The 24967-nt window shown below is 37.0% G+C and overlaps 1 protein-coding gene across 25 annotated transcripts in view; it reads right to left on the bottom strand.

Annotated features, from left to right (window-relative positions):
• MRTFB (myocardin related transcription factor B) overlaps positions 1-24967 on the bottom strand; it is a 272006-nt gene that overhangs the window by 87812 nt on the left and 159227 nt on the right. The window lies entirely within an intron of this gene.

The following is a 24967-nucleotide window of genomic DNA, read 5'->3' as shown; positions in this document are numbered from 1 at the left end:
AGTTCAAGGCCAGCCTGGGCAACATGGTGAAACCCCATCTCTACAAAAGAATTAGACAAGTGTGGTGGCGTGCACCTCTGGTCCCAGCTACTTGGGAGGCTGAGGTGGGAGGATAGCTTGAGCCCAGGAGGACGAGGCTGCAGTGAGCTGAAATGGGGCCACTGTATCCTAGCCTTGTCGACGAAGTGAGAACTTGTCTCAGGGAAAAAAAAACAAACAAAAAAAACCTCCCCTGCCCCCCATACACTGAAAAGCCCAACTAAGTCATCTACAAACTGTTTTTAAAAGGTCTGTATATTACTCAAGTTTGTGAAACACTAGTCCACCATATAACTCAAATGGAGAGAGGAGATCCTACTTCTTGGCTTACACAACGCTCTCTTAAAGTGGGAATTAAGCATTTGCCTTTGTTTACCTAATCTGACTGAGTGTCCTATTTTACTATCTTGGGAGTTACGGCAAAGGTAGAGAATAACAAAAGCAAAGCTTGAGAAGTTAAGGAGCCAAGATGACTACCAAATCCAGTATGAAGTCATGCCATGCCCTCATATAAACTCTAAAATGTTTCCTTCATCTCTTACTGACTTTGAATCTCCTGCACCTCTGTTCCACAAAGCATTTTCATTTTCCTCAAGATTACACTACCCTACTATCCTCATAGCTTTCTCAGCAAGTAACTTGGGCCCCTAGATTCGCTACCAATATTGAGATCTTCAGACATAAATGCTACAGAACCTTCCCACTCCCATCCTTCCATCTTTGAGGAAGAAGTAAATTTTTTTCTTGCCATAGGGAATCCAGACAATTTGTTTAGGTCTGTAATCCCTCCTGCCTACTTACAAAACTGTGATCAGTGTATTACACCTCTCCACTAGGATCCTTTGTGCATACCAAGATATTTTCATTTTCCCTCACACTCCTCTTTTCTAATCTCCTAAGATTTGGACTTTCCATTTCTGCACCATCTCTCCTAATAATTTCAAACTGTGTACTGGCATCAATTATTAACTCTAAACACCCACCAATGCGTGCACACACACACACACACACACACACACACACACCCTACCTCTGGTTCATGTACTTCTCGCTTTCTAAATAATAGTTTCTAAATGAGTTTTCTTTTCATTCTTTTTCTTTTTTTCAAGACAGAGACTTGTTCTGTTGTCCAGGCTGGAGTACAGTGGTGCAATTATTACTCGCTGCAGCCTCGACCTCCTGGGCTGAAGCAATCTTCCCTCTTCAGCCTCCCCAGTAGCTGGGTCTACAGGCTCATGCCACCATGCCCAGTTAATTTTGTTTTTTAGTAGAGATGAGGTCTTGCTATGTTGCTCAGGCTGGTCTCGAACTCCTGGGCTGAAGCAATCCTCCTGCTGTGGCCTCCCAAAGTGCCTAAATGAGTTTTCTTTCTGGAGTTCAGATATCCTTGATTTTAAGATTATATGCTATACTTAAGACTAAATCATCTAAGTTTAAGACACACTTTTGCTAGGTGAAAAAACAAAGATTAAAAAACAAACAAACAAAACCCAAAACACTCAACAGGGAGTAATGGGTTAGCCTAGACCTCAGGTTGGTCCAGCTCTGGACAATGCACTTAAAAACCATGCCATGCTATTTTATTCATCTCTGCAGTCCCAATGCCTTGGATACTATGCCTGCTTAATTAATGCTGCCTCTATGAATAAACAAATGCCACTCAACTGACCAAACCTCTTCCATGCCTCTCCTCTATCTCCTTAAGTCAGTCCACCTTTGTTAGCCTGGCATTCAAAGCCATCAGTGCTTTGTCTCCCACCTTCCTGACCGGCGTTATTAACTCCCTACATGTTCCCTATGCTTCAGCTAATTCGAACTACTTGGTATTCACTAATACACTCTGTGTTGTCCTTGTTTTTGTACAAGTTTTTTCTTCCTGGATTTCCCTATTCCCTATCTCTGCCCACGGAAACTGTACTTAAACAATCTTCAAGAACTAGTTCCAGTATCAGTCTCTTTCAGAAGCCTTCCAGATGTCTCTCTCCACCCCTGAAAGTCAGGTCTGTTCCTCTGCACACTCTGAACACTCATGATACCTGTCATCAAAGGACTCAGCACACCATGTGATGACAATAATGAAGATGATGATGATGCTAGTTGTTACTGTTTATATGCCACTCACATTTTACAGCACTGTATTTATGCATGGTGTTAAGTGTTTTACATGTATTAACTCAGTTTATTCCACTCAATAGCTCTCTCTACTACTATCTCCATTTTACAGTGAGGCAATGAGAGGTTAAGTCACTTGTCCAGCTACACAGCTTTTAAGAAGCAGAACAGCAGATTTTTTAACTTAGTATGATTTCAGTCTAGCTTTGTTCAATGGGTTCTGTGAGGAAATTAAGCCCTAATACTCAAAGGCATTCACTGTATATAATAAATTCACTTCTCTCCTAAGAATCTAAAATGGTATTTGCTATGTCATTCTTGGGAGAACTGAGAAAACAGTCACAGAAATCACATTTGTAGGGTTTAATTCTCTGGGCTGAGAAAGGCTGGATGTGTCTAACCTTTTATACTTTCTCTCAACATCAACACTTGTCTGTATACTTTTCATATTTCCGAAACCCCTTACCCCATCTTCGTAAATTTTATAATCTTTGCGAGCTGGAACTGTATCTCATTTATCTTATTCCTATAAGATCTATTCCAGTGTTTCAGCAATTTTTACATGGTCAAGCTTCTCTTTAATTAAATAAATTCTTGTATTTAGCAGTCCAGGCTAGTTGATAAGCATCTTCCTTATAATCAATCAACTGACAACAAAAACTACTTGTTATATATTTTTGGTTGTATCTAAAAGACACCTCAAAATCAATTTTGCTGAGATATAATTTAAAGATGATAAGGTGCATCCATTTAAAGTATATAGTGAGTTTTGATGAGGCATGCACCTATGAAACCACAGTCACATTTAAGATATAGGATAATTTCATCATTCCTAAAAGATTTATCCTGCCCCTTTGCAGTTTCCAGATAATCACTGATCTGCTTTCTATCACCATCAATTAGTTTATCTTTTCTAGAATTTCAAGTGAATGGAATCATACAGTATGTGGTCTTTTGAGTCTAAATTCTTTCCCTTAGCATAGTGACTCTGAGATTCATGCACATTGTTGCACCTCATCGGTGGTTGGTTCCTTTCTATTACTGAGTAATCCGCTGTATGGATATACCATATTTTGTTTATCCATTCATCTGTTTGATGAACATCTGGGTAGTTTTCAACTTTGAGCTACTATGAATAAGTCTGTTATGAACATTTGTCTATTAATCTTTGTGTAGATATTTATACTCATTTCTTTTGTGTAAAGACTTGGCCATGTAGAAAGTGTATGCTTAGTTTTTAAAGGAACAGTGGTTTCTTCAATATAAATGTATTGGCAGTCTTATTTGTAATAGCCAAAAACTGCAATCATCTGCCCATAATGAATGAATAAATGAGTAAATGCATATAGGAGAATGCTACTCAGAAATAAAAATGAATTACATAAACAACATGGATGAATCTCAAAATTATGCTGAATGAAGCAGACAAAAAGAACACATACCATGTATGATTCCATTTATACATGAGTAGTTGCCTAGAGACTGAGATGGAAAGAGGAATGGATTATAAACAGGCGTGAGGAAATTTCTAAGGGTGTTGAAAATGTTTGTTGTCTTGATTGTGGTGATGGTTTCACAGTTGCATACATATGCCAAAATTCTTCAACTTGAATCCTTTAAATATGTGTGGTTAATTGTATGTCAATTATAGTTCAATAAATATGTTTTTTTTTAAACCCACAAGGTTACTCGTGGGAACAGAGAAATTCCTTTACGTAACACAATAACCCTGAAACAGTCTTTACTATTACAAAACTTTAATGCAAGAGAAATTTACCTAATTTCTAATTAGGCATCTAATTTTATTTACCTGGGCATCTAAACCATGAAAATGATTGAGCAGCAGAACTGCTCAAAAGGATCTTAAAAAAGAAATAAAGAAAACCAAAACAACAAAACCTATTCATCCATTCAAATAAATCCCACCTGTAATAACTGAAGAATGATTTCTACAGTGCACACTGATGGTGTAACGCAATGAGCTGTGACTGACAAGCCTATACCATTTTGGTTAACTGATGTGTATTACAGATCAGGATGGCAAACGGGTGGTGATCCCGAAAACAGAAAATGTAAAATTCAAATTAAAAAAAATTGTATGTGACAAAGGAAGACATTTTTTTCTGGGGGGTGGGGAGCAAAGTTTCACTCTGTGGCCCAGGATGGAGTGTGGTCGTGTGATTTTGGCTCACCACAACCTCTGCCTCCCGGGCTCAAGTGATTCTCTTGCCTCAGCCTCCCGAGTAGCTGGGATTACAGGTGTGCGCCACCATGCCCTGCTCATTTTTGTATTTTTAGTAGAGGCGGGGTTTCACCATGTTGGCCAGGCTAGTCTCAAACTCTTCACCTCAAGTGATCCGCCTACCTCAGCCTCCCAAAGTGCTGGGATTACAAGCGTAAGCCAACGTGCCTGGCCAGGGCGACATTTTTTAATGCTAAAAGCTATATAATCAAAATGAAGCTGTAACAGTATGACCATGCACAAAACAACACACAGCAACCACTGTTACAAAACAAAAAGGACAACAGATACAATGTGACATAGACACAATTAATAGGAGGCTTTAATCTGCCACTCTTAGTACAAGACAGATGATGTAGATAAAAAATAAGGATATATAAGGCCAAAATAGCACAATCAATAAAGAGATCTTATTGATACATGTTGAACTAATCATTGCACTGATGATAGTGAATACATCTTCTCAAATATACATAGAATCCTCAAAAAAAATTATACATTAAGTCACAGGGAAAACAAGTTCCATAAAGTAAAAAAATTACAAACAACTCTGATCTCAATGTAAAACCAATATAATAAAAAACTAAAAAGGATTGTGTACCTTGAAATTAATTACATCTTCTATTAACTCATAAAAAAGGAAAAATACAAAGTAAAATAGAAAAATTTCTAAAAAAAATAGTTGTTTTGTATATCAGGACCTATGCCATGCATTTAAGCAGTGATCAGAGAAAAATTCAAATCCGTAAACCATTACATCAATAAAAATGGAAGAATGAAAATAAAGTATATGACAAAGAGGAAAAAGATTAAAAAACAAAGAACAGAGCCTCAGTGACCCATGTGATGATATCAAAAGTTCTATTTTACATGCAAGTGGAGTCCCAGAAGGATGGCAGAGAGAGAATGAGGCACAAGACATATTTCCAAAAATAATGCCTGAAAATTCCATGAATCTGAATTTGAAAAACACTTTGAATCTGAAAAACATAAATTTACAGATTCAAGAAACCTGGCAAACTTCAAGTAGGGCAAATTCAAACACATACAGAATTCAATAGCCTTCAGATACACAAATAATAAGCAGTTAGAGATTATAATAGTGGAGAAAACTCCATTAATTATAGCAAATAAAGATGATAAAAACTCTTAGGAAGAAACTAAACAGGAAATGTGTAAAACTCCTAAAAAATACTGAAATAGGGTAGGGCAAATAGAAAGACAGTCCTTGGTCTTGGATAGGATAACACATCATAAAGATGTCAGTTTCTCTAAGTTAATTTACAAATTTAGTGCAATCCCAGTAAAAACACCAACAAGCGTTTTAATGGAGCTAAGGCAAGTTGATACTCAAGTTCATATGGAAAAAATGAAAACATCCAAGGCAAGCCGGAAAAACACAGAAAAAGAAAAGCAATGTGGAGGGAGAGGCCTAACCAGAAAAAACAAAAAACAAAAAAACTCCAAGAGGATCAGAGATCTGGGATCTAAATGTAACAAAAGAAAACAAATCAAACCATATGAGTATGCTGAATAAATATTGATGGGATTTTTATGACCTGGACATAGGGAAAAGTTTTCACACTGTGACCCAAAATCTAGATGCAATAAAAACAGGACTGATAAATTTTGGCCACATTAAAGGAAAAACCCAAAAACATACTGAAGAGGAAAGGCTAATCACCCCAATATGTAAATAACTCTAAAAATTGAAAAGTTCAAAAACCTGACAGAGAAATAAACAGATAATTCATTCTTTCCCTCCTCCAAAAGATTCTGAAATGGTCCTTAAACATATTGAAAAGAGGTTCACCCTTACCCATAATTAGAGAAACTGAATCAAAATTACACCAAACATTAGATGGTAAAAATGTCTGACAACACTTTCTGTTTATTCCTCCAGGCTGTGGAGGAATAAACATTCTCTTACAGTGCTAGTTGGAATGCGAAGTGATGCAACCCTCTGGGAAAGCAATGTCTAACAAAACTACACATGCATTTTTCTTTTGACCCAGCAACCCTCTCTCTAGGAATTTACCTGACAGATAAATCTCTGACATCATTAAAAAAATGCCAAAAGTTATTTACTGCAGCAGTTTGTAACAGGAAAATCTTAGAAACAACTAAAATGTTCACACATAGGAGACTGGCTGAATAAAACTATGGTACAACCATACAATGGAATACTATATAGCTGTTAAAAACAAGGAAGATCTCTACAAACTGGTATGAAGTGTTTTTCACAATACAGTGAGTGAAAAAAGCAAATTGCAAAATAGTGTCAATATGTTATTTCGTGTGTGAGAAAGAAGAGGAAATAAAATATAGCTGCTTGTTTGTGGGGGGGAGGCGGGGAAGGAAGGACAAATTAGAAATCAATGAGATTTATTACCTTCATTGGGTGGGGACACAGGGTAGAAAGGATGAAGGGATGGGAATGGGATAGGAGAGAAAGGTGAGGAGTGACACTTCTCTACTGACATCTTTTTGTATATTTTTGACTTTCAGAACCTTATTAATATTTCAGTACTCAGAAATGAATAAAATTAGCTAGGATAGAAGACAACCCAAATTTGAACATAAAATAAATGAATGCAACTGCATTTCAAATAACATGGACATGCTGAAGGAAGGACAGAATCAACCTTAACAACTTTTGAATACAGATTTTGACTATATACCTGTAGGCTAAAACCAAAAAGGATATGAACAAATACTGAACTCCAGTTTGTAGGTATTTTTTAAACAGATGTGCTGAGATATAATTTACAAACCATAAAGTTCACATGTTTAAATGTAACACATTTATTTTCACAGTGGAATAGGTTAGCAATTCTAAAACTACTTTATGTGTATTCTAGAATTAAACACATAAAATATATTGTGGATAATGGGAGCCAGGTTCTAGGTTCTCACTGTCAGAGAGTGGAGTTACAAATACATAAAGGGGAAAGGCTAAAGGAACCCAGTGATGTGGGAATGAAAATGGAGTTATCATTAAGGATATCTGGTTTTTAATATATACAGTGATAGTGCCAGAAACAGAGATGTGTGTAAATGTATTTTTTTTTTTTTCGAGACAGAGTCTCACTCTGTCGCCCAGGCTGGAATGAAGTGGCACAATCTCAGCTCACTCACTGCAACCTCTGTCTCCCACGTTCAAGAGAGTCTTCTGCCTCAGCATCCCGAGTAGCTGGGATTACAGGTGTCCGCCACCACACCTGGCTGCCTTGGCCTCCCAAAGTGCTGGGATTACAGGCGTGAGCACCATGCCCAGACTATGTATATTTTCTATTTCTGTCTACTAAGAGGATCTAGAAACAATGAACACATGTAGTTCCCAGGTCTTAGTTTATAAATACTCTACTAAAAGGTACCATACTTTCTTCAAGAAATGGCTGGCTCCAGGGCTGGGGCAAGAAAAGCTCCAGTTGAGCCTAGAACATTTTGTTGTGCCAGAATGCAAACAAATGCTCAGAGAATGATGTTGGGCTTGTCAAAAGGACATAGAAGCTAGCTTGAAGGAGGTGGCCAAATCTGAGACACTTTGAGCATCAAAATAAATAACAGTAACAGATTATAACCCACAGACTCCATGATTCTATAATCATATAAGTTAATAAAAGGAGGAAGAACAAAAACTTTTTTTAAAAGTAGAAAGTCATCTGTTAACAAATGTAAGGAAAGATGGAATTATTACCACTTAGCAATTACCCACATTTAATAACAACATTTTTCAAGGAGATCAGAATACTGTAAAATACTTTCAAACACCGTCAATAAAGTATAAATAATATATTTCTAGAATGCAAATGGAAATGTATTCCAGAATCCAGAAACAGGTCTAAACTCTCTGACCCTATAATACCTATGACTATTCTAAATGAATATTCTGGAATATATACACATGATATATACTCTGATATATATGTATAATGGTTTATATGCAATGGTATTCACACCAGCATTAACTATAGCAGTAAATTCTAGGCATGATCTAAACGTTAATCAGGGAGTGATTTAAGTTATGGCACATTTATAATGATATTGTATAGCCATTGAAATTAGGCTTCAAAATCAAAAAATAACTATTGAGTGCTTACAATGAGCCAAAGAAGTAAAAAGTAATTTTATTTCAGAAGTTTTTGTTTTTTAACAGACAGGGAAAGACAGGATCTGGCTGTGTCACCCAGATTGTGGTTGCAAGGGAACCTCTCTCTTGCCTTCTGAGTAGTTGGGACTACAGGCGTGCATCACCACGCCCAGCTACTTTAAACATTTTTTGTAGAGGAGTCTTGCTATGTTGTGCAGGCTGGTCTCGAGCTCCTGGCCTTAAATGATCCTCCCACCTCAGCCTCCCAAAGTGCTGGGATTACAGGTGTGAGCCATCATGCCCAGCTGAGAGGAACATTTAATAACATGGAGGAATGTTCACTGTAAGGGTGACAGGAGAAAAGGAAGCCATAAAAACATGATCAGTACAGTCTCCAATTAAAAGAAAAAATCATGACAAAATACTTGAAAATGTTACAGTGGTTATCTAGTGGTAGGGCTTATAGCTTATTGAAATTCCTTGCCTTTTGTCACTCTGAATTTTATAAATGGTCTATAATGAACATGTGTTATATCTATGATGAAAAAAGGCCAACCCCTAAAATGACAATTTTGTATGTTAAAATTTCTTTAATTAAAAATTTTTGTTTATTTATTTTTATTGAGATGGAGTCTCGCTATATTTCCCAGGCTGGTCTCAAACCCCTTGACTCATGCAAGCTTCTTGCCCTAGCCTCTCAAGTAGCTACAATTACAGGCATGCACCACCATGCATGGCTTACAATTTCTTTAACTGGTAACTCAAACTGTCTCTTCATAGTAACTGCCTGTGTGTAATTCATTTAAACAAATTTTAAGGTATTATAATTCTAAAAACTGATCTTAAAAATGATAAATTAGACTTATTTAAAACTAAAGTTTTTGCTCATAGAGAGATAATTCAAGAAAATGAATACGGAAGCCACAGACCAGGAGAATATATTTGTAAAACATGTATTTGACAAATGATTAGAATCAAGGGTATATAAAAAACTCCAAAATTTCATAATTAAAAGACAAAAACGAGGTTAAAAAATGGGCAAAGTTAAAAAAAGGTGTTTTCATGCTATTATGTTTTATGAAATATTCAGAATCGGACCTGAGTGGGACTGACAATAATCTCAGAATACAAACAGGCAGGAAAAGCAGAGAATGGATTAGGGGGAAAGAACATAAGAAGGAGAAGCATGGATAATTTGTTCCTACTCAAATAAGGACATTTTAAGCAAACACTGAAGTTGATACATTTGCTGAAGTCTTTAGAGAGATGTGTACAGATATCTGAAATATGTCAAAAAATGACTGATGGTCGGAGGGGGATAGGTAAGAGTACACGAGATAAAACAAAGCATGTTAAAATATTAATGGCAGAATCCAAGTGGGGTATACATGAGAGCTCACTGTAACACTTCTTTAACTTCCTATATATTTAAAAATTACTATAATATAAAGTTGGAAAAAATGAGCAAAAGATTTGGAAAAAATCTTTCACATAAATAGCTCATAAGCACATTAAAAAGTGCTCAATATCATTAGATATCATGAAAATGCAAATCAAAACTTCAATGAGATATCAACACACACCCACAGAAATGGTTAAAATGGAGAAGACTAACTTTGCCAAATATTGGTGAGAATGTGGCACAACTGGAACTCTCATACATTTATGGGAGTATAAAATGATGCAGCCACTTTTGAAAAGGGCATGCAGACTTAGAAAACTAAATATTCACCCAGCAACTCCTCTCCCACATACATACCCAAAGAAATAAATACCTGTACAAGACTATTCATAGCAGCTTTATTAATACTAGCCTCAGATTGGAAAGTGTCCAGGAGTCCACTAAAAGGAAAATGGATAAATAAACTGTGATCTACTCATACACTGGAATACTACTAAGCAACAACAAAGAAGGATTGATACATACAACATTAATGAATCTCAAAAACATGCTGAATGCAAGAAGCCTTATACAGGAGCATGCATTGCATGATTCCATTCATATGAAACTTGAAACTGTAAAAAGAAAGATAAATGGTGAACAAAACCACAACAGTAGCTGTCTCAGAGGGGCTAGGGTAGAAAATGATTGCGAAAGAGCAGAAAGAAACTTTCTGCGGTGATAGCAATGCTCTGTATCTTGGTAAATGTTTCGGGCACTTAGGCATATGCATATATCAAAACTCATCCAACAGTGTGCCTTAGATTTGTGCATTTTGTTATATATAGATAAGCATACACACACACACACACACACACACACATTTTATCTTTAAAAATGTAAACCACTGACCAATGGAACAGAATACAGAACTCAGAAGTAAGACCACACATCTACAACCATCTGATCTTGGACAAACCTGATAAAAAGCAAACAATGAGGAAAGAATTCCCTATTTCATAAATGGTGTTAGGAGAACTGGCTAGCCATATGCAGAAAACTAAAACTAGGCCCCTTCCTTACACCCTATACAAAAATTAACTCAAGATAGATTGGCCGGGCGCGGTGGCTCACGCCTGTAATCTCAGCACTCCGGAAGGCTGAGGTGGGCAGATCACGAGGTCAGGAGATCGAGACCATCCTGGTTAACACGGTGAAACCCCATCTCTACTAAAAATACAAAAAATTAGCCGGGCGCGGCGGGCGCTTGTAGTCCCAGCTACTGGGAGGCTGAGGCAGGAGAGTGGCATGAACCTGGGAGGCGGAGCTTGCAGTGAGCCAAGATCGCGCCACTGCACTCCAGCCTGGGCGACAGAGCAAGACTCCATCTCAAAAACAAACAAAAACAAAACAAAACAAAAAACAAAGAAACAAAAAGATAGATTAAAGACTTATATGTAAAACCCCGAACTATAAAAACCCTAGAAGAAAATCTCGGCAATACCATTCAGGACATAGGCACAGGCAAAGATTTCATAATGAAAACATCAAAAGCAATTGTAACAAAAGCAAAAATTGACAAATGGGATCTAATTAAACTAAAGAGCAAAATAAACTAAATAAACTATCATCAGAGTGAATCGACAACCTACAGAATGGGAAAAAAATTTTGCCATTTATCCATCTGGAAAAGGTCTAATATCCAGAGTCTACAAGAAACTCAAACAAATTTACAAGAAAAAAAAAACATTAAAAAGTAGGCAAAGGACAGGAAATGAACAGACATTTCTCAAAAGAAGACATTTATGCAAACAACAAACATCTGGAAAAAAGCTCAACATCACTGATCATTAGAGAAATGCAAATCAAAACCACAATGAGAAACCATCTCATGCCAGTCAGAATAATTATTAAAAAGTCAAGAAACAACAGATGCTGGTAAGGCTGCGGAGAAATAGGAACGCTTTTACACTGTTGGTGGGAATGTAAATTAGTTCAACCATTGTGGAAGACAGTGTGGCAATTTCACAGAGACCTAGAACCAGAAATACCATTTGACCTAGCAATCCCATTTTGGGTATACACCCAAAGGAACATAAATCATCCTATTATCAAGGTATGTGCACATGTATGTTAACTGCAGCACTATTCACAATAGCAAAGACTTGGAATCAACCCAAATGCCCATCAATAATAGACTGGATAAAGAAAATGTGGTACATACACACCATGGAATACTGTGCAGCCATAAAAAGGAACAAGATCATGTCCTTTGCAGGGACATGGATGCAGGGGGAAGCTGTGATCCTCAGCAAACTAATGCAGGAACAGAAAATCAAACATACCATGTTTTCACTTATAGGTGGGAGCTGAACAATGACAATACATGGACACAGGGAGGGGAACAACACACACTGGGGGCTGTCGGGGGTGGGTGCGGTGGGCAGGAGAGCATCAGGAAGACAGCTAATGCATGCTGGGCTTAATACCTAGGTGATGGGTTGACAGGTGCAGCAAACCACCATGGTGCACATTTACCTATGTAACAAACTGACACATCCTGCATATGTATCCTGGAACTTAAGCAAACAACAACAACAACAAAAATGTAAACCACTTTTGTACTTCACATAAGGATGTTCACTATGAACTGTTTAGAGGTAAAGTGTACTGATGTTGACATTCTTTTTTGAAATGCATGAATAATTTTGATGGACTGTTAAGTGGATAAAAGAATACATACGTAATAAATGAAGTATAAAAAAAGGTTAATTATAGAATCTATGTGTTTATTATATGGATATGTATTGTACAATTCTTTCAGCTTCTCTTTATGGTTGAATTGTTTCAAAATAAGATGTTGGCAAAAAAAAAAAAAAAAAAGAAAAGAAAACCCACACAAAACCAAAAAAGTTTCCTCCTCCACACACAAGGTATCCTTTAATTTCTGTAATTAGAAAGTAATATGTTATCCCATTCTTCTTAATTGCTAAACAATAAGATTGACATGCACATTTGGAAGTGGCTGCTCTATTTTGCATAGAAAGCGAGTATTATAATTTCTTCTTTCAAATAATCATGTCCTACTTCTTACTTTCAACTATGGGGAAGGAGAAATAGAAACATATGGCTCTCACTGCACAAATGCTATACCTCTTGTCGTTTCAAGTAAAACATCCAAAGAGGGTTAAATTACAAAGCAGTATCTGAAAAACAGGGAATGCTAAATATTTTACAGAACAAAGTATACCAGAACTGAAAAGATACATGTAACAGTAATCACAAATTCAAGTTTAACACTGAAGGCAAAGGCTATTAACCATTTTATGGCTCAGAACGACAAACTAAGAACTATTTACTCTGAATCATCTAGTTGGATGAACAGGGAGAAAGCAGGAGTGTTGGAAGATGGTGTCACATGAACAAGGTTGTAGGGATGAGATGGGGAAAGGGGAGGACAGTGAGAACATGTCCAAGAAGGCAAAGAGAACAACATGTACAAAAATACCAAGTCCCAAGAGAGAATAATGTATGGCAAAGAGTGAGTAGTGCAGCAGGGCTGGAGCACAGGGTACAGAAGGCAAAGGCGGCCGCATGGCTAGGCAAAGTCCAGGACATCACAGGACACACAGTCTGCAGGGTGTTTGGTCTTTATCCTAAAGGCAAATTGGTGTCACTGAAGAACTGCAGACAAGAGTGGCATGCCTAAATACATACATCAGAAAGATCACTCAGCCATCTCTGGGGCACAGAGGAGCATCAGACTAGAAAGGAACAGATCAATTAACAGCCTATTCCAATTCTCCACGGCAGCAAACATGAAAAAGGAACAAATCAGAAGTCACATCTCAGATCATCCATGCACCACATGCTCTATCCTCAACTGGTCATGAGGACTAAACTTTGCAGCAATATATCAAGCAACTGAATTCTCTAAACTTACAACCTACTAATACTAGATACAACCCCATCTGATAGGAAACTAAGCATTGGAACAAAAGATTCATCACGGAAACTGTTTCTAGGAGCCAAGACAGCAGCAACCATGTGACCCTTTTTGGCCTGGAAAAAAGTGCTAAAATCTTAAATCTGAAACCTGAAAAGAAAGGAAGATGCGATTAGAAATATCAGGTAGTTTTTTTTTTTTTAATTTTGTCTTCAGCTTTTTTTTTCCTTCTTCTACATGCAGAGTCAACCCTAACCCTCGATAATTATTTTACTTTAAGCAAGCAAAAATGCTCATAATTGAGCATCGGCTTTGGTGTCATAAAGATCTGGGTTCAGACAAATCCCAGTCTGCCACTTCCAGCCACGTAACTTTGGGTTTCCAAATCTCTCAAAGCTTCAGTTCCTATTAGTCCCTTATTTGTAAAACATAAAAGATAATTCTTATCCATCTTGCAAAACTGCTGGGAGGATTAAATGGGACAATGCAAAAAGCACCAAGTGCAGTGCCTGGCACATGTGAAGCCACTAATAAAATTAGGTACCAAAGGAAAGGAAACTAGTCTATCAAAGGGATACCTGCACTGCCATGTTTAAGGCAGCACTAATCACAATAGCAAAGATATGGATCCAAATTAAGTGTCCATCAGATGAATGGATAAAGAAAATGTAGTGTGTGAACACCCCCATCCCCCACCCCCGCACACACATGGCAAACACACAACAGAATACTATTCAACCATTAAAAAAGAATAAAATCCTTTTATTTGCAGCAATATGGATGGAACTAGAGGTCATTATGTTAAGTGAAATAAATCAGGCATGAAAGACAAATACTGCACGTTCTCACTCACACATGAAGGTAAAAAAGTTGATCTTAAGGAGATAGAGATACAGAGTAACGGAATGATAGTTCTGCGGCTGAGAAGGGTGTGGCAGTGTGGGGCGGGTGCTGGGGATGAAGAGAGATTGGTTAATGGTGTAAACATACAGGTAGACAGAAGGAATTAAGTTCTAAAGTTCAACAGCAGAATAGGGTGACTTAGTTAACAACAATGTATTATATATTTCAAAATAGTTAGAAGAGAGGATGTGAAATGTTCCCAACACATAGAAATGATAAATGCTCAAGGTGATGGATATCCTAAATACCCAGACTTGGTAACTGCACATTCTCAACGTGTAACGAAATATTACACCACTCCCATAAATATGTACAAGTATTATGTATCAAAAAAGGTATTCTTTCCATTCCCTCTAGTATGTTTTCTAGTGAACATAAATATGAGAAAATAAATAAAAGCTGCTTTTTTTTTTTTTTTGAGACAGAGTTTCGCTCTTGTTGCCCAGGCTGGAGTGCAATGGCATGATCTCAGCTCACTGCAACCTCCACCTCTAGGGTTCAAGCGATTCTCCTGCCTCAGCCTCCCAAATAGCCGGGATTACAGGTGCCCGCCACCACACCTGGCTAATTTTTTGTATTTTTAGTAGAGATGGGGTTTCATCATGTTGGCCAGGCTGTTTTTGAACTCCTGACCTCAGGTGATGCGCCTGCCTCGGCCTCCCAAGGTGCTGGGATTACAGGTGTGAGCCACTGTGCCCGGCCAAAAGTTTGTTAAGTGCAATATAGATATATGTGAACTATTTGGAAAAATGGCTTTCATGTGGCCTTGATCTTCCAGTGAGCAATATTACTGGACAGTAAACATAGCTGAGGCTTATATGTAATATAAATTGATAGGACAATGCTACAATATTAGAAAATGTGTTGAAGATAGTTAACAGTCTAGGCTGCAATGACTTGATCTCCCCACAAACTAAAATATTTTCCTTACATGAGAAACTGAATCACTTCTTTAGTCTCTTTAAATGGTCATACCTGACTTATTTCCAATTGGGTTCCAAGAAAATCTATCCAAAAGATATAAAAATATAAAAAAAACTAATATGAAAGAAAGCAGCTTTTGAATGCAGTCTTGATTGTATACCCTCAATGAGATATAGTCTAAGAACAAAAAGAACTGCAAATAAATCTTGACCTTAATAGATTTGTTAGCAGTAGTAATATTGTTGGTGGTGTAATTCTGAAATGATTTTATATACTATAGAATTGAGCAAATGAATAAATACGTTGATGTTTTTGGGAATCAAGCTTTTTCATTATAGGACAAAAAGATAGACAAACAAGAACTGGGAGAAGCAGAAGGAAAAAAACCTATGGTGTTAGATTGAAATTTAAATTAGATTTAGGATTTCTATTTGTTACCTATTTTAGTATAATAGACATGCAGAAAGGTACACATCATAAGTATACGATTCACTGAATTTGTAAAACTGATCACATCCACACAACTGGCATCAGGAAACCAAACATTTTCCACATCCTAAGAGCTCCTGCCTTGTAGCTTCCCTTCTAGTCACTTCCTCCTGACAAGTGTAACCACTATCCTGATTTCTAACGCCACAGAGTAGTAGTTCAGCCTGTTTTTGTACTTTGTGAAAATGGAATCATATAGTATATACTCTTTAGTGATTAGCTGCCTTTGCCCAATCTTATTTTCGTAAGATTCATGCACATTCTTGCAAGTAGTTGTAGTATGTTCATTCTCAATGCTATACTCCACTGTGTGAAGTATTACAATTTATTTAACCATGCTACTGCAGATGAGCATTTGGGTAGTTTACAGTCTTTCTCTACAACAAATAGTGCTGCTATGAACAGCCTAGTAGAATGAACCATATAGAATTGCTGACAGTACCTACAAAACACAGTAATGTCATATAATTAAAAAAAACCCATCATCTTTTTGGGGAAAGAGAGGGGGAAACAGGGTCTTGCTCTGTTGCCCAGGGGAGAACAGTGATGTGATGATGGCTCACTGCAGTCTCGACATCACAGGCTCAAGTGATCCTCTGGCATCAGCCTCCTGAACAGCTGGGACCACAGGCATGTGTCACCATGCTTGGCTATTAAAAAATAATTTTTTTTTTTTTTTTTTTTTTGTAGAGACAGGGTCTCCCTATGTTGCTCAGGCTGGTCTTGAACTTCTGGGCTCAAGTGATACTCCCACCTTGGCCTCTCAAAGTACTGGGATTAGAGGCATGAGCCACCATGCCTGACCAAAACATCATCTTTTGATGAACATATACACGCATTTCTGTTGACTATCAATCTAGAAGTGTAATTCTGACACCCAGGGTAGAATTATACTTAAGATGTTTCTCAAATGGTTATACCAGTTTATGTACCCACCAACTGCTCTAAATCCTTGACAAAATCCGGTATTTTTCTTTTTCATATTTTAGTCATTTTTGAGGTACTAATGAATACACATCTTTATCCACATATATGTGCATGATTTGGATATCCTCTTTTGTGAAGTATCTGTATCTGTGAAAGCTCTTGTCCACTGATTATACTGGCGTGTAGAAGTCCTTCTATATGCTAAAGAAGAGTCTTCTGTTCAATATATATATTGAGATTTACCTCTTCTTACTGGACGAGTTGATTTTCTCTCAGTGATGTCTTTTGGTACACAAGAGTTCTTAATGTAAATATAATGCAATCTATCAGGTTTTTTCTTTTATGGGTAGTGCTATTTGTGTCCTATTTAAAAAATTTTTGCCCACTTCAAGATCATGTAGATGTTTTTCCCCTGAAAACTTTACTATCTTATCTTTTATAGTTGGATTTTTTGTGTATGAGTTCAATCCAGATGAATTTCTTTCCACAGGACATCCAACTAATCTAGAACCATTTATTTAAAAAGACCATGCTTTCTCCATTGCACAAATGTGTTACTTTTGTAATGAATCAGGTGACTGAATATTGCCTATTTCTCACTCTCCATTCTGCTCCATTGGTCAGACTATCTGTCTAAAGTACTATATGTTATAACAGGTCTTCGTATCTGGAAATGTAAGTCCTCTGGCTTTGTTCACCTACTTCATGATGGCATGGCTATTCTTGGCCTCAACTCATGATTTTTTAAAAAAATGTATCCTAGCACTGCCTACTAAATCATGGCCTGAACTCACGATTACAAAAAAAAAAAAAAAAAAAAAAAAAAGTCCTGGCATTACCTACTAAAACAGAACAGAATAGAAGCAGTGACACTCAACTAACAAAAAACATGTCTATTTCTCAGATCTTGGTTCCTAAATATTATTCCTCACTAAAAGGAACCAGAAATTCTTACAGCAAGGGCTAATTCCAAGATGAAGCCAATGAAAGCATAAGATGATTCTGAAATATCTTGTGCCAGAAGGTAGGAAAGTACTAAAAAATTAAGGGGGATGGGCCAAAAGGACACAAAAACCACCATGAAAGGGGTCACAGTTACCAAATTTGGGACAATTTATGCATCAAAAATGATGACCATAATGGATAGACTCTTTCCAATTAAAAAAATAAAATATCTGTAAGTCCATAGTGATACTTCCCTTTGAAAAGAAAGCTTTTTTTTTTCCTCAGAATAGTGCTAGTGAATAGAGAACTAATGTCAGAATTAAAACATCATGATTCTGCAAGTACCTTTATAATTATTTAGGGAATAATCATCATTCAAATCACAGATGAAAGGAGGTTGGGAAACAGAATAGTCTTATAGTCTCAAGGTATTATCCCACACATTACTTATTAATTACAAATGGAAATAGTACATTTACATAAGAGAAATAGTAGGAACAGGGTAATGCCACCTTAACCAAGTGATCAAACTTAATCTCACCAACAATGGGACAAAATTGTCATTTATCTTCTGATGTGATTCCATGAGGATCCATCACCTATTTAGTGTTATCACCAACAATATTTAGCCTAAACTGATCACTAGGACTGATCTGACAAATTCAAATTGGGGTCATTCTGCAAAATAACTGGCCTGGAGTCTTCAAAAATGGCAAGTCATGAAAAAAAATTTTTAAAGGTGAGGAACTCTGCAATGCTAAATAAGACATATGACAACTAAATGCAATGAGTGATACTTGACTAGATCCTTGATTTTTTAAAAAAGCAATAAAGGCCATTTTTGGGGAAAGTGGGGATATATGAATATGGGCTGTGCATTAAATAATATTACTATGCCAATGTTAAACTTTTTGAGGCTGATAACTATATTGTGGTTTACAGGAGAATGTATTTATTCTTAAAGATGCATACTGACATATTTGGGCATACCTGTAATTTATTTGTAAATGATTCTTTTTTTTTTTTTTTTTTTTTTTGAGACGGAGTCTCGCTCTGTCGCCCAGGCTGGAGTGCAGTGGCGGGATCTCGGCTCACTGCAAGCTCCGCCTCCCGGGTTCACGCCATTCTCCTGCCTCAGCCTCCCGAGTAGCTGGGACTACAGGCGCCCGCCACTACGCCCGGCTAATTTTTTTGTATTTTTAGTAGAGACGGGGTTTCACCGTTTTAGCCGGGATGGTCTCGATCTCCTGACCTCGTGATCCGCCCGCCTCGGCCTCCCAAAGTGCTGGGATTACAGGCGTGAGCCACCGCGCCCGGCCATGATTCTTAAATAAAGTTAATAAATTGCTCTAACTTCAGGCGTTACAAAGATCATGTAATAAAGATTGTTGCCCTACTTTAAGGGGAAAATGTCCATTTGCATTTTTCCACAGAAAAGATACAACTGACTTACAGAACTAGTAAAGGGAGATTTTTATTTTAGTTTCTAAAATGATATAAATTCCCATAATAATCTATTTTCAGGCTTTCAATTTTACTGGCCAATGTGAAAATGTTTGTTTAAAAGGTAAAAAAATTATTTGGACATCTTCTACTAGAGAAATTTTTAAAATTTCTTCATTCATTTAGCTGAGTACCTTCAAAAGTACTGAGCTAGAATGAAAACACACAAAATTGACTACAGCTCTGTGTTCTAGACTACCAAGGTCCTTGGTTGTAAAGTAATTCTTCCTAGCATGGCAACATTTTCTGAGAAAAGTATAAAGAAGAATACAACTTGAGAACACTGAAGAATGAGTTTTTCTTTCTTTGTATGAATATCCACATGAACACACCTAGTGAGGTCTCACACTGTTGCCCAGGCTACAGTGCAGTGGTGTGATCCTGGCTCACCAATTCCTGGGCTCAAGCAGTTCTCCCTCCTCAGCCTCCTAAGTAGCTGGGACCACAGGCATAAGTCACAACACCTAAGTTTTTTTTTTTTTTTTTTTTTAATCTTTATGAGACAGGGTCTTGCTAAGTTGCCCTTGCTATCTTGAACTCCTAACCTCAAGTGATCCTCCTGGCTGAGACTCCCAAGTGGCTGCGATTACAGGCGTCAGCCTCTGTGCCCAGCTCTCCACATGAATAAACTTTATATAGCACCTATTATATATGAATAAACTTAAATGAAAGGGAATCTAGGCAAGTTCAACAAGGTAGATGGTTGACTATAGAATGTCTTAACCTTCAACAGACTTTTAAAATAAAACTATTCCCTCAAGTAAAATCTTAACTCTTTTTAGCTTTGCATATGATTATATTTATACCTTTTATAGCCATATTCATTACATAAAAAATAAAAGCATCTTAATAATCTTAAACATATCTTTAATTAACTACCTTTCATGTGAAAGTTATATTTTTTCTATTGTAATAGCACTATTTATAACCATCTAAACCAGGTAGCTTTAGAACCAACAATATACTTTAAAACTTTATACCTCATTAGCTAGCTGGGTGTTTTGCATTATTTAATTTCTCTGACCCTCAATTTATAGGTTTTATAAAATGGAAACAATTAAAACCTACTTCAAAGGTAAAATATCTTTGCCTAGTCAGGGAAGACATCCTCTCACTACTGGCAGAATTTAATAGTTTAACTTGCTATTTACCAATTGGTTCTAGGCCTACCGTGTAAGCAAGAAGGAAGAATGTGGAAATATGCAGAAACACATGGAAAAATCTAACACAGTGCCTTGTTTGTAGGTGGATCTATAAAAATATGTGTTGATTGGTTACATTACCAAAAGGAATGAGAAAAAAAGTGGTTTGTTTTTGTGAGAAGACACATGGTAACTAAGAAAGTCAAAATAGAAGTGCTAGGTATTTAATTTACATGATTATAGTCCTTAAGAAAGCAAAAGTGGGGGAACTATCCCTTATAAAAACCATATAGCTTAAAAATAAAAATTCTATTGGAAAACATTCTGCAATAACACATTAAAACCAATTAATGCATTAATTCAAATAATTACATTTTCAAACATTTGGGCCAATAAAATGAAACTATATATAAAAGTCATTTGATAAAAATAGAATATGATATATTCTAAAGTACAAATTATACATTGACAATTCTAATTTTCAAAAACACAGTCTTTCCACATTTCCTTTATTCAGTGATGTCTCATTTATTTGGCTTCTATCTGTAGTATCAGTATCAGTATCTGTAGCATCAGCAGGTCACTTGGACCAAATGAACCTGAGAACCAAACTCAATAGTTCCTTGTTGGAGCTGCATCTATCTGCTGTAGATCAGTTATTCTCCATCTCTGTGGCCAGTTTTGACATGGAAGCCTCCCTCACCAAGCCCACTACTAGAGATTCCCATCTGTTCCCTGTCTCCTAACTCCCATGCTGGCTTCTCAGCAACTGTGAGACAGGCACACAATAGCTCATGTGGGCAGTAAGGGGTGGCCCTGTGAACCAAGGTGGGAACCTTAAACCACTAGGCCCAAGGCTAAAAAGTAGGGAGTACAGACTTTGGGGAGCCAGACCACAGAGATTTTGATCAGATTATGTTTCCATGATCATGCTGATGTGTACTTTTGAGTGGTATTATCAGATAACCTCAGTGATATTCTATCTTATTTCTATTCTACCACTCAAAACTCTTTATCAACCTAAATTCTTCTTTAAAGCTCTGGTGTTCAATAAAGAATGAGAATCTATGACATGTTGTGAAGATTTGACTGGACAATTAGCTCTAAGTAGAATCCTCCCAATATCACAATATAATCATGAGCTACCAAGTCACTCTGATATTCCCTATTATATGACATTTGTTTAAAAAAGATTTCTACCTTCATTGATATAAAAGTACTATGTGCACATTATGAAAAATGCAAACTATAGAAAAGAGATGAAAATAGTTTATATGCATGTAAATTTCCAAAATAATTTGATATATTTCATTGCAAGACCTTTTCCTTTGCATGGGGGAGTGGGGAGTGGTTGATGGGAGGAACGCATGATGGGAGGGTGTGAAAAGGATGGTTAGCTGCACCCGTGATAGATCTATTATTCCTTGCTTTTTTTCTTACTATAACCTAGATTATCCTGACAAGAAAGTTCCCATTTAATATACATGTGAGAAGGAAAATACAGTCTTTAGTTGTCTCTTTTAAAGGCTGAATCTTTTGCCAAGTTGAATCAAATTCAAATACTGAGGAAAAGAGAATATTTTAAAATTTCAATATTTCTATAAGAGAAAATAATACACAATTAATTATTTATTAATGAACAATGGATTCTGCCAACCAGTGAAACCTTTCCTCCTTGAGGCTTCAAATTTAAAAAAAGAGATGACTTCTTGAACCAATGGAATGACCATGCCATTATCTCCAAGCAATCCCAGAGGCCCTAGCACGGTATCTTCTATGACAGTCTTGCTGACCATTCTGTATCAACAGCAAAAGTGAAAAGCTACTTGCCATGAGAACCAACCATAACTATTAGCCTGGTCTTTAACCAACAATTTAATTTCGTTCATCCACTGATCAAAAAGCAGAGCAACTTGGTACTTCCAGTAAGGTCTGAGCGTTTGGGTGGGTCCAAAAATAAACTGATATTGCTACTGTAGTCCTAGTCAGAAAGTTCATCCATATGTACTGAGAGGAAGCATGTGTCACAGGAAAAGCAAAGGTCCTATGTGAAAATCCCAATTCCAGACCCTCGTTTTCCAGCCATGATGGAATAACAATCATTGGACTTAACTTCCTGCCATAAGAAACTAGAAAACTGGGCAAAATACATGAAACAATTGCTTTCACACATTGGCAAACAGGTAATGCAGGGCTGTGGCCCCTGAGAGGAGGGAAACAAATGAGATGAGCCCATAATTGCCCTAACTTTCTGCCTGGAGGCAATTTCTAGACTGTGGGTAAGAGGAGGGAGAAATCACACAGGAGCTTGTTAGGCTTGCTGAACTGAGGAGACAGAGATGAGAGGAGAGCTTAAGCAGGCTAAGGCAGCTGAAGTTTCAGGGAAGATTTGTGAAAAACAGGATCTATGCTGAAAAAGAGTTCCAGAAACCTGCCTAATGGTGCCCTGGAGTCTTTGCTGAGTGCTAAGCTGTATGTACACAGAGTAAAATCTCACAAGTTTGGGCAAGAAATGACCAGGGACTATAAGCTAAATACTTCCCAGAGTGCATACAAGGTCGGGAAACGTTCGAACTGCAACCAGCCTGAGTGAAATGTCCTCCCTGGGGCACTTAGCAGGGCATGCAGCAGAGATACCTTTAAGGGGAGTCTCCCTGGCACGAATGCTACCCTAGATCTTTCCTAAAAAATTTAAGAAAGGCCTTGAAGGTGATCCAAAAGTTACTTAGCTGCCTACCAAACCAAAGCCCAACTTTCTTTAACTGAAGACAACAAAAACAAATTCCACTCAGTAATGCAACATTCACAAAATTATATCCAATGAAAAATTACTATACTACTTACACCAGGAAGCAGGAAAATGCAACTCTTAAATAGGAGGAAAATTCATCAATAAAAACAGACCCAGAATGATGAAAATAAATGAAACTATTAACAGCTACTATAACTATATACAAGTATTTAAAACATAAATATAACATGGAGAAACATGGACAGTAAAAAAAGAACAAAATAAAACTTCTAAAGGTAAAAGGAAAATAATAAACTTTTATTGGGTGGGATTAACAGCATATTAGATATGCATTTTAAAAGATCAGGGAATACTTGAAAAAAAGAGGTATATCTAATAAGGCACTGTAAAATAAAAATAAAGTAAAATGGGAAAAAATTAAACAAGGTAAGACAAGAAGAATGAAGTGAGACAGAACACATAAGACAAAAAAATATATATACATAGAGCAAGATGATGGATGATAGATTTGAACTCAATTGTGATGGGCAGCCTTTAGGGTAGTCCCAGGGATCCCTGCCTCCTAGTATTTATGGTCTTGTATAATCCTCTCCCTTAGAGTAATTTGCTTCTAATCAATCGAATATGGTTAAGTTTAAGGAATGCTACAAGAGATTATCACTCTGTCTTGCCAGAAGACTTCTCTCTTACTGGCTTTCATAAAGAAAACTGTCATGTCAGAGAGACCCAGGTGGCCTCCAGCCAATGGTCAGCAAGGAACTCAGGCTCTGAGTCCAACAGTCCTAAAAGAACTGAATCTTGCTAAAAGCAAAGTAAGTAAGCTTGGACATGAACCCTTCCCTAGTTGAACCTTCAGATGAAACTCTGGCCTTGGCTGACACTCTGATTACAGACTCCTGAGAGACTCTGAGGCAGAGGTACTCAGCTAAGACATGCCTGAATTCCTGACCCACAGAAGCTGTGAGATAATAAATGCATGCTGCATTTGGCTGTTATGGTTTAAAGAAATTCACTACAAAGCAATAGATAACTATTATACCACATATACCAATAATTACCTTAAATGTAAATGATCTAAATATTGCAATTAAAATTGTAAGAGATTGTCAGACTACATTTTAAAAAGATTCGGCTCTATGCTATCTATGAGAAATCCATTTTATTTTTAAAATTTCTTTTTTAATTTCTACTTTAACAGCAAGCTTATCCTTAACATTTAAAAAATTTTTCAAAAACGGAGATGAGTCTCGCTCTGTCACCAGGCTAGAGTGCAGTAGTGTGATCCTAGCTCACTGTAGCCTCAAACTCCTGGGCTCAAGCAATCCTCCCACCTCAGCCCCGCAAGTAGCAGGGACTACAGGTGTGTGTCATCATGCTTGGCTAATTTTTAAAATTTTTTTGTAGAGACAGGGTCTAGCTTTATTGCCCAGGCTGATCTTGAACTCCTGGGTTCAAACGATCTTCTCACCTTGGCCTCCCAAAGTGTTGAAATTACAGGCATGAGCCACAATGTCCAACCAGAAACTCACTTTAAATATAAAGATGCAGATGGGTTAAAGGTAAAAGCAT

The sequence above is a fragment of the Homo sapiens genome, chromosome 16 (genome assembly GCF_000001405.40).
Source record: "Homo sapiens chromosome 16, GRCh38.p14 Primary Assembly".
In the NCBI taxonomy this organism is placed as follows: Eukaryota; Metazoa; Chordata; class Mammalia; order Primates; family Hominidae; genus Homo; species Homo sapiens.
Note: the sequence above shows the minus strand (reverse complement) of the source record. Positions and strands in the feature narration are given on the sequence as shown.